At 52.7% G+C, this 10,698-nt stretch overlaps 1 long non-coding RNA gene across 1 annotated transcript in view, besides 2 other annotated features; it reads left to right on the plus strand.

Annotated features, from left to right (window-relative positions):
• LOC101929650 (uncharacterized) overlaps positions 1–8,312 on the plus strand; it is a 71,977-nt gene extending 63,665 nt beyond the window's left edge. Inside the window, exons 3-4 of the long non-coding RNA XR_243528.4 lie at positions 5,266–5,445; positions 7,869–8,312. This is a non-coding gene — a long non-coding RNA (uncharacterized LOC101929650). The remainder of the gene's footprint in view (positions 1–5,265; positions 5,446–7,868) is intronic.
• Positions 8,095–8,609: an enhancer, noted in NCBI's record as "OCT4-H3K27ac-H3K4me1 hESC enhancer chr17:81162966-81163480 (GRCh37/hg19 assembly coordinates)". NCBI's record gives its function as "activates a minimal SCP1, AML or CMV promoter by ChIP-STARR-seq in primed H9 embryonic stem cells {active_cell/tissue: H9 hESC(primed)}" and the evidence as "EXISTENCE:reporter gene assay evidence [ECO:0000049][PMID:30033119]".
• Positions 8,610–9,124: an enhancer, noted in NCBI's record as "OCT4-H3K27ac-H3K4me1 hESC enhancer chr17:81163481-81163995 (GRCh37/hg19 assembly coordinates)". NCBI's record gives its function as "activates a minimal SCP1, AML or CMV promoter by ChIP-STARR-seq in primed H9 embryonic stem cells {active_cell/tissue: H9 hESC(primed)}" and the evidence as "EXISTENCE:reporter gene assay evidence [ECO:0000049][PMID:30033119]".

Raw genomic sequence — 10,698 nt, forward strand, 5'->3', positions numbered from 1 at the left:
ACTCCCCCAACTCCAGTTCATGTTTTTCCCTCCAACTCTAAGCCTTTTTCTTCCTCTGCTATTACCCAGGCACCCTACCCTGTCAACAACACTGGCCTTCAAGACCCTTTGTAGCATAACTCCCACCTATAACTCCCACCTGAAGCCAGCCCTTCCCACCTCTGCGCCTCTGATGCCCAGGACAGCTCTGACCGTGGGCAGCTCTGACCCAGGACAGCTCTGACCTTGGGCAGCCCTGATCTGGGGCAGCTCTGACCTCGAGTAGCTGTGACCCTGGGCAGCTCTGACTCTGGGTAGTCGTGACCCTGGGGAGCTCTCAGCATGGGGGTTGCACGCTCCTGTTTAGACAGCTGCCGTCCCCCAAGCTGGCTCACTATCCCATGTTGGAGTGCACTGTTCGGGGCTGCCTGCCTGGATTGATGCAGGGAAACTTGGTTCCAGCCCACCTCCTCCTGCGGAGGCTGAGTCAGGGGCTCTTCCCTCGGCCAGGCTGAAAGGCAGCAGTTGGTCCCCCTGTGAGGTCTTCCACATGGCCTGGGAGAGTCTCCCCATCTCTTCAGGCAGAAGGGAGGACAGTCCATAATGTTCCTTCCAGTCCTCTGACTTGTCATTTTTCTACCCCAAATCTTGCACTTTAACCCCATAGAGAGCTCCTGAAGGGGGAATTTTAACTGGCAAAACTCAGAACTCCATCCAAACACAACCGAAACCATCCTGGGTGGCTTAGAGGTGGCTGCCTCCCAGACAAGTCCATAGCCCCACAGAAACGTCTGGTCCTTCACCTGCTAGAGCTCAGGCTTTTTGGTTGAAGCCGGAGACAGGCCCAGCTCAGAGTGTGCCCCGGTTTATCCTGAGCACAGACTTGGTGCGGTGTGTGTGACAGACCAGCGAAGCGGGTCTTGCTGCCTGTCCTGTGGTTGGCCCTTGGCTCCCAGCCTCGAGTCCTACCCTTAGGCCAGGTCAGAGCAGGTTCAGCAGCAGGACTGGCTAGGCACCACCCAGGCTCATGAGGTGGCTTTGTGGGGAGGAAATGAGGTTTTTTTTTTTCTCTTGTAAAGTTGCTTGTTGTTAATTTAAAATTTTAATTTCATTTCTGAATTAACATTCAGCAAAACTGCTATTTTTCGGTGTACAGTTCTATGAGTTTAACACATTTATAGATTCATGTAGCAACACTGTGGATACAGAACAGTTACATCACCCCCAGAACTCCGTTCACAGTCACACTCCCCGACCCAGCCCCGGCAGCTCTCCCTGTGGTTTGTCTTTTGCAGAGGAAATCCCGCAGCTGGCGGCACTTGGAGACCGGCTCCTCGCCGAGCCGACCGCGCGTGCGCGGCTCCCTCCTCGTCCGTGCTGAGCGCCGCGTGGGGTTCCGCGTGGAGGCGCCTGTGCCGCTGAAGCGTGTTTGGGTTGCTTCCAGGGTGGGATGGTTGTTGGATAGAGCTGTTTGTGCATTTGCGTTGTAGGTTTTTGTGTGAACATAAGCTTTTGTTTCTCTCGGGTACATACCCAGAAGTGCAATTGCTGAGTCATGTGGGAAGCGTGTGCCCAACTTTACAGGAAAACACCACAGGCCGCCCCTTCGCTTTGCGCTCCCGCTAATCGGGAATGAGTGCCTGCTGCTCCGCGTTCTTGCGGGCACCCAGCATTTTCCGTGCTTACATTTCAGCCATCCCGGAATGAATGAAAAGCGTTTCCTAGTGGCTGTAATTTGCATCTCCCTGGTGGCTGATGGAAGCTTATTTCCCATCCATATCCCTTGCTTGGTGACGCATCTGTTCAAGTCCTTCCCCGGTTTGTAACTGGATTATTTGGTGTTTTTACTGTTGGATTTTGAGAGTTCTTTATGTATTCTAGATACAATTCCTTTGCCAGATATGAGATTCACAAATATTTTCTCCAACTGTATGTCTTGTGTTTTCATTCTCTCAACAGTGACTTTTGCAGCATTCATAGGGATTTTATGTTTTCTTCTCAAAGTTTTATAAACCACTATATTTAAAATTTTAATTTAAAAACTATAAACCTATTATAGTTTTTAAATTAAACTGTAAACCTCTTATATAGATTTTCTGTTTAAACTTATGATTCCTTTTAAGTTAATTATTATGTAAGTTGTGAGGGTTGGGTCAAGGCATTCCTTTGCTTAAAATCCCCAGCTTTTCATTTCTCTCAGACAGAAGTCTTGACCTGCAGGGTCAGGCTCCCCTGCTCTCTGAGCTCGCCCTCCCCACGCAGCGCTAGCCCCTGGACTATTCTCACCACTCAGGCCTTGGCCTCCATACCCGCTTGGCACCCACCAAAGGGTCCGGGGACCCCTCCACAGGGCAGCGTTCTGTCTGTGAGGTGAAGCGGGAGCAGAGGGCCAGGCAGAGCCAGGCTGGGACCCAATCTCTGCTTCAGGCTGGTCTTTTTTTTTTTTTTTTTTGAGACGGAGTCTCGCTGTCGCCCACGCTGGAGTGCAGTGGCGCGATCTCGGCTCACTGCAAGCACCGCCTCCCGGGTTCACGCCATTCTCCTGCCTCAGCCTCGCGCGTAGCTGGGACTACAGGTGCCTGCCACCATGCCTGGCTAATTTTTTGTATTTTTAGTAGAGACGGGGTTTCACCGTGTTAGCCAGGATGGTCTTGATGTCCTGACCTTGTGATCTGCCCGCCTCGGCCTCCCAAAGTGCTGGGATTACAGGCGTGAGCCACCGCACCTGGCCAGGCTGGTCTTTTTTGCCAGAGTTAGTGTTGTATTGAGGGACATGGAGGGAGAAAAGGGGGTCAGTTAGGGGCAAGTTTACTTGTGCAGGTAACCAGGGTGAGGGCTCGAGGGGAGAGGAGAGATAAGGAGGGCAGAGCTCAGCCAAGTTGGCCTGATGACATGACCAGAATGTGATCACTAGATCCCCTGCCTGGAGGCCCAAGTGTGGCCCCAGGTCTGGATAGTTGCAGCCACTGTGGGGAAGCTTCAGTTTGGGAGCCACAGAAACCAAGAATATTGTCTGGGAAGCTGATGTGCAGAGAGGAGAATGGAGCGGATGGAGGTGCGGTGGGGGAGAGAGACAAAGAGACAGAGAGGAGAGTAAAAGCCTGTTGCTGGCTCCACTATGTTGGGCTTGTCAGCCCAGCTTCTTCTTGTCCCATCCATAAAATGGGCTGGTGTCGCCCATCCTGGTTAGGAGGCACAAGGAAGTATTGCGCTGTGTGCTCGGCCCAGCTGACTCAGCAGCTCTCCAACCTCGGGGACTCTCCAGACAGGTGTGTGCAGGTGAGGTGCTGGACCAAGGAAGGGCAGGTGGAGGACATGGCCGAGGGGAGCTCTGTGAGCTGAGCTGCCTGCTTCGAGGGTGCCCTTGAGGCCCAGGACTGACCCCTGGAGGGAGAGGCTTCCTTCCTTCTGTTGGGGCTCAGAAAACAACGCCCCAAAATGAAGTCCTCAGCAGCAGCCTCAGAAGCAAAAGTTGTCTCTGACCTTCTCCTGCCCTCCTGTCTCTCAGTCTCATTCTCCCCGAAGGCGCTGTAGAAACCAGACTCTCTTTTTCCCCAAGGCCGGTCACAGAAATCAGAACCCCTTCTCCCCAAAGCTGGTCAGAAAACCTAAAAATATTACTCAGTTTTCCGTCTACCTTTCTATATAAGAGCTGACTAGAGAGAAATGATCCAACATCCCTTGTTTGACTGTAGGTCATGAGACTGTCATTCCAGAGAGGGCCCTGCCCCACGTCCAGAGAAGAAAATGCTCAGAGACGAAGACAAATCTAGACAGACCTTGCTGGGTTCCCACTCAGTCTATTCACATTAGATCAAGCCCTTTGTGTCCAATCCTTTTTTTAGAGGACTGTTCATACGTTATTAAACCTAAACATAAAAATGGACAATTTCCCCCATCGTTGGGTCTTCGTTCTAAAGGTTCTTATATGTACACATCACATAAATTTGCATACCGTTTCTCCTATTAATCCATCTGTCTCATGTCAGTGACTTCTCAGCAAACCTTTAGGGGCCAAGGGGCCCCACGCTCTCCAGCGGCAGGCACAATGGGCCTGGGGTGCAGTTGTGGACACTCGGACCCTCCTTGGAGCTGGTTTAGCTGTGCTGTGTGCTTGTGGGAATGGATTGCCATGATTTCTGGGCTCTAATAAATTGTGCTTCAATCGACTCTTGAGGAGTTAATGAGAGGCCTCACTTCAGACCATAAACACCCTCCCTGTGTGGGATAGAAACACACATCGTCACAGCCAGGAGGTCAGTCGGGTGAGGGTCTGCTTTGCTTACAAGGTCCAGAAACCCAGCAGAAAACCCTCGAGGCCACATCAGTGAAGAGTAACTTATTTCAGCAACATTTCCATGTGTGACACAAGACACACATTTCCTGCATCCACCTTTAAAGTCAAGAAGTTGAAGCTGAATAAAGCCAGCAGGCAGCGAAAATCACCTGCACTCAGTTCAGTTGTGGCAGGAAAGGGAAAGAGCCATGAAGAAAGGAGAGGGGGATGGAGAGGGAGAAAGGAGAGGGGGATGGAGAGGAGAAAGGAGAGGGGGATGGAGAGGGAGAAAGGAGAGGGGGATAGAGAGGAGAAAGGAGAGGGGGCTAGAGAGGAGAAAGGAGAGGGAGATGGAGAGGGGGATGGAGAGGGGGATGGAGAGGAGAAAGGAGACGGGGATGGAGGGGGGATGGAGAGAAGAAAGGAGAGGAGGGTGGAGAGCGACAGCTGCAGAGGGAGGCAGGGGAGGCCGGCATGGACGCTGCAGAGGGGACACAGCCACTCTGGGAACAGCAGCCAGTGGCGGATCTGCCTGGAATGCTGTTCCCTCCTGTCCAGGATGGGCCTGTCTCTGCAGACAGGGGCCCTCCCCTTCCTGGCCTGGCTGTGCACTCCCTATGTGCATGGTGGAAGCTCTGCAGAGGCCATTCTGCTCCAGAGTGGGGCATAGCCTCGGGCGAGGTTCACAGCTTGGGGGGCTGGTCCTGCCCTGTCCCACATGTGGCTGTGTGGGCAGCATGGATCTTCTTCCGCGGTGACCCTGTGTGCCCACCCCCCCCAACTTATGCCTGCTTCCCAAGGCCATGGGCCTCACCCTCAGACTTCACTTTTGTGTATATGGAAAGACACAATTATCGGGACAGAAACAGATCAGTGTTTGCCAGTGGGTGAGTGAGGGGAGAGGAGTTTACTACCGAGGGGCCGAACTGGGGCCATTTTTGAGGGATGAAAGTCTTCTGTGTGGCTCTACAGAGCTGGGTACGTGATGCTGTGTTTGTCAAACCCCACAGGACTGGACCTCACTGTGGGAACAACAAGATCAACAAGAGGAGCAAGAACAACATCAAGAGTTGGGGCCTGGGGGTCCTGACGGGTACAGGATGGGTACAGACCCACACAGGAATCCCAGAGTGTGTTCCACAGCAGGACACGCCTGCGCTGAAAGAGTGGGCAGAAAGGAGCTGACCTGGGTAAGTCCAAAAACAGTGTTTTGATTAGATTCTGGAAAGAATCAAATAACTCTGCATATCTAAGCACTAAACTCCAATTGGTAAAATTGTTTCCCACAGCAATACATGTTAGCAACTTTGAAACTACTTTTATATATACTAAGGTTTCACAAATAAGTCAATACAGTAGTAAGAGTCAGGGTTCTCACAGCTGGATAAGGAAGTCATGGAAAAGCCAGCGGGGACCCTGAGGTCCATATGTAATATATATTATACATATATACAGATCAGAATGGACCCTAAGGTGGTCGGTTATAGACAGATATGCCAGCAGGAACTCATGTTTACATGATACATATATACAGATCAGAATGGACCCTGAGGACCATATATAATATATATTATACATATATACAGATCAGAATGGACCCTAAGGTGGTCGGTTATAGACAGATATGCCAGCAGGAACTCATGTTTACATGATACATATATACAGATCAGAATGGACCCTGAGGTCCATATATAATATATATTATACATATATGCAGATCAGAATGGACCCTGAGGTCCATATATAATATATATTATACATATATACAGATCAGAATGGACCCTGAGGTGGTCAGTTATAGTCAGATATGCCAGCAGGAACTCGTGTTTACATGATACATATATACAGATCAGAATGGACCCTGAGGTGGTCGGTTACAGTCAGATATGCCAGCAGGAACTCGTGTTTACATGATACTTATATACAGATCGGAATGGACCCTGAGGTGGTCAGTTATAGTCAGATATGCCAGTAGGAACTCGTGTTTACATGATACATACATACAGATCAGAATGGACCCTGAGGTGGTCAGTTATAGTCAGATATGCCAGTAGGAACTCGTGTTTACATGATACATATATACAGATCAGAATGGACCTTGAGGTGGTCGGTTACAGTCAGATATGCCAGCAGGAACTCGTGTTTACATGATACTTATATACAGATCGGAATGAACCCTGAGGTGGTCAGTTATAGTCAGATATGCCAGTAGGAAATCATGTTTACATGATACATATATACAGATCAGAATGGACCCTGAGGTGGTCGGTTACAGTCAGATATGCCAGTAGGAAGTCGTGTTTACATGATACATATATACAGATCAGAATGGACCCTGAGGTGGTCAGTTATAGTCAGATATGCCAGCAGGAACTCATGTTTACATAATACATATATACAGATAGGTTAAATATATACACACACACGTGCGTGTGCATACATGGCTTAGCACACACATCTGTAGATCCTGGGTTTGTCCTTTGAGAGGGGACACCCCAGTAGCAGCAAGCACATTCCATGCCCAGATGTTAGTTTCTAAATTTCATCTTCAATAAAAGGAGCCAAGTCTCCCTGGAGAAATGGCTGATAATTGGGATGTGGGAGAGAAAATACAAGATGAACCTGGAGCATCTTGTAGTCCCAGGAAGTAAGAAAATGCTCAAAAATAAAATTTTTAAAAAGCTGTGGGCATTTCAAAAGGGCATGGAACCCAAAATGTAAGAGCTCCCAGTGGCCACAGCTACAATGATTTGAGTGCACACACACTCACACAGACATACACACACACACACACAAATCGGATTATGCCCCAAAGAATAAAATGAATGTCCATGGATTCGTAAGCATATAAATAAATTATTGAATAAATTAAAACTGAAAGGGTAGCCGGGCGAGGTGGCGAGCGCCTGTAGTCCCAGCTACTCGGGAGGCTGAGGCAGGAGAATGGTGTGAGCCCGGGAGGTGGAGCTTGCAGTGAGCCAAGATCACGCCAATGCACTCCAGCTGGGGTGACAGAGCAAGACTCTGTCTCAAAAACAAAACAAAACAAAACAAAACAAAAAACTGAAAGGGACAGGCCTTTCTTGGAACAAATTCCAAACAAGAAATGTGGAGTAAATAGGGAAAATCACCATCAGGCCGGGCACAGTGGCTCGTGCCTGTAATCTCAACACTTCGGGAGGCTGAGGCAGGTGGATCACCTGAGGTCAGGAGTTCGAGACCAGCCTAGCCAACATTGTGAAACCCTGTCTCTACAAAAAAATACAAAATTAGCTGGGCCTGGTGACACATGCCTGTAATCTCAGCTACTTGGGAGGCTGAGGCAGGAGAATCGCTTGAACCCGGGAGGTTGCAGTGAGCTGAGATTGTGCCACTGCACTCCAGCCTGGGCAATAAGAGCAAAACTCTGTCTCAAAAAAAAGAAAGAAAGAAAGAAAAGAAAAGAAAAAAAAGAAAGTCACCATCAGTGCTGCAGGCAAGCTCCCCTGAGGAATGCTAAAATTCCTGTGCAAAGTTTAAGGAGAAAGAAGATATTTGTATAGTCTCAAAGTGTCTCCCCTAAATGTTCAGTAATTACCGCGGCGCCCAAATTCTTTGATGCTCCTTCCTGTAGGAGTTGGAGCTCATGCTGGACTTCATGACTCACTCTTAACCAGCAGGACATGGAGAGGAAAACAGTCACTCTCCCGTGGGGAGACCTGGCAGGCCTCACCTTGGCCGTGTGATCAAGGTCCAGACCACCAGTGATGAGGCATGTTGACATCGTGGCCCCTGAGAGCACGTGATGAGAAGAGCGCTCCACCTCCGCCGTGTTCTTCCGCAAACGCACAGTTCCAATGTAATCAGAGAGAACATCACACACACACCAATTGAGGGGCATCTTGCAGAATACCTGAGCAGTACTCTGCAAAGCTGTCAAGGCGGTGAAACGAAGACAGGCCAGGAAAGGGTCACCGGTGCAGGGGACTAAGGAGGCGTGAGGGCCAGTGCAGCCTGGGGTCCTGGACGTGAGCTGCTGAGACGGCACCCGCGTGAGTGTCGCAGTTTCCACACCGTGAGCTGCCGAGACGGCACCCGCGTGAGTGTCGCAGTTTCCACACCGTGAGCTGCCGAGACGGCACCCGCGTGAGTGTCGCAGTTTCCACACCGTGAGCTGCCGAGACGGCACCCGCGTGAGTGTCGCAGTTTCCACACCGTGAGCTGCCGAGACGGCACCCGCGTGAGTGTCGCAGTTTCCACACCGTGAGCTGCCGAGACGGCACCCGCGTGAGTGTCGCAGTTTCCACACCGTGAGCTGCCGAGACGGCACCCGCGTGAGTGTCGCAGTTTCCACACCGTGAGCTGCCGAGACGGCACCCGCGTGAGTGTCGCAGTTTCCACACCGTGAGCTGCCGAGACGGCACCCGCGTGAGTGTCGCAGTTTCCACACCGTGAGCTGCCGAGACGGCACCCGCGTGAGTGTCGCAGTTTCCACACCGTGAGCTGCCGAGACGGCACCCGCGTGAGTGTCGCAGTTTCCACACCGTGAGCTGCCGAGACGGCACCCGCGTGAGTGTCGCAGTTTCCACACCGTGAGCTGCCGAGACGGCACCCGCGTGAGTGTCGCAGTTTCCACACCGTGAGCTGCCGAGACGGCACCCGCGTGAGTGTCGCAGTTTCCACACCGTGAGCTGCCGAGACGGCACCCGCGTGAGTGTCGCAGTTTCCACACCGTGCGCTGCCGAGACGGCACCCGCGTGAGTGTCGCAGTTTCCACACCGTGCGCTGCCGAGACGGCACCCGCGTGAGTGTCGCAGTTTCCACACCGTGCGCTGCCGAGATGGCACCCGCGTGAGTGTCGCAGTTTCCACACCGTGCGCTGCCGAGATGGCACCCGCGTGAGTGTCGCAGTTTCCACACCGTGAGCTGCCGAGATGGCACCCGCGTGAGTGTCGCAGTTTCCACACCGTGAGCTGCCGAGATGGCACCCGCGTGAGTGTCGCAGTTTCCACACCGTGAGCTGCCGAGATGGCACCCGCGTGAGTGTCGCAGTTTCCACACCGTGAGCTGCCGAGATGGCACCCGCGTGAGTGTCGCAGTTTCCACACCGTGAGCTGCCGAGATGGCACCCGCGTGAGTGTCGCAGTTTCCACACCGTGAGCTGCCGAGATGGCACCCGCGTGAGTGTCGCAGTTTCCACACCGTGAGCTGCCGAGATGGCACCCGCGTGAGTGTCGCAGTTTCCACACCGTGAGCTGCTGAGATGGCACCCGCGTGAGTGTCGCAGTTTCCACACCGTGAGCTGCTGAGATGGCACCCGCGTGAGTGTCGCAGTTTCCACACCGTGAGCTGCTGAGATGGCACCCGCGTGAGTGTCGCAGTTTCCACACCGTGAGCTGCTGAGATGGCACCCGCGTGAGTGTCGCAGTTTCCACACCGTGAGCTGCTGAGATGGCACCCGTGTGAGTGTCGCAGTTTCCACACCGTGAGCTGCTGAGATGGCACCCGCGTGAGTGTCGCAGTTTCCACACCGTGAGCTGCTGAGATGGCACCCGCGTGAGTGTCGCAGTTTCCACACCGTGAGCTGCTGAGATGGCACCCGCGTGAGTGTCGCAGTTTCCACACCGTGAGCTGCTGAGATGGCACCCGCGTGAGTGTCGCAGTTTCCACACCGTGAGCTGCTGAGATGGCACCCGCGTGAGTGTCGCAGTTTCCACACCGTGAGCTGCTGAGATGGCACCCGCGTGAGTGTCGCAGTTTCCACACCGTGAGCTGCTGAGATGGCACCCGCGTGAGTGTCGCAGTTTCCACACCGTGAGCTGCTGAGATGGCACCCGCGTGAGTGTCGCAGTTTCCACACCGTGAGCTGCTGAGATGGCACCCGCGTGAGTGTCGCAGTTTCCACACCGTGAGCTGCTGAGATGGCACCCGCGTGAGTGTCGCAGTTTCCACACCGTGAGCTGCTGAGATGGCACCCGTGTGAGTGTCGCAGTTTCCACACCGTGAGCTGCTGAGATGGCACCCGTGTGAGTGTCGCAGTTTCCACACCGTGAGCTGCTGAGATGGCACCCGTGTGAGTGTCGCAGTTTCCACACCGTGAGCTGCTGAGATGGCACCCGTGTGAGTGTCGCAGTTTCCACACCGTGAGCTGCTGAGATGGCACCCATGTGAGTGTCGCAGTTTCTACACCGTGAGCTGCTGAGATGGCACCCATGTGAGTGTCGCAGTTTCTACACCGTGAGCTGCTGAGATGGCACCCATGTGAGTGTCGCAGTTTCTACACCGTGAGCTGCTGAGATGGCACCCATGTGAGTGTCGCAGTTTCTACACCGTGAGCTGCTGAGATGGCACCCATGTGAGTGTCGCAGTTTCTACACCGTGAGCTGCTGAGATGGCACCCATGTGAGTGTCGCAGTTTCCACACCGTGAGCTGCTGAGATGGCACCCATGTGAGTGTCGCAGTT

The sequence above is a fragment of the Homo sapiens genome, chromosome 17 (assembly GCF_000001405.40).
Source record: "Homo sapiens chromosome 17, GRCh38.p14 Primary Assembly".
NCBI lineage: Eukaryota > Metazoa > Chordata > Mammalia > Primates > Hominidae > Homo > Homo sapiens.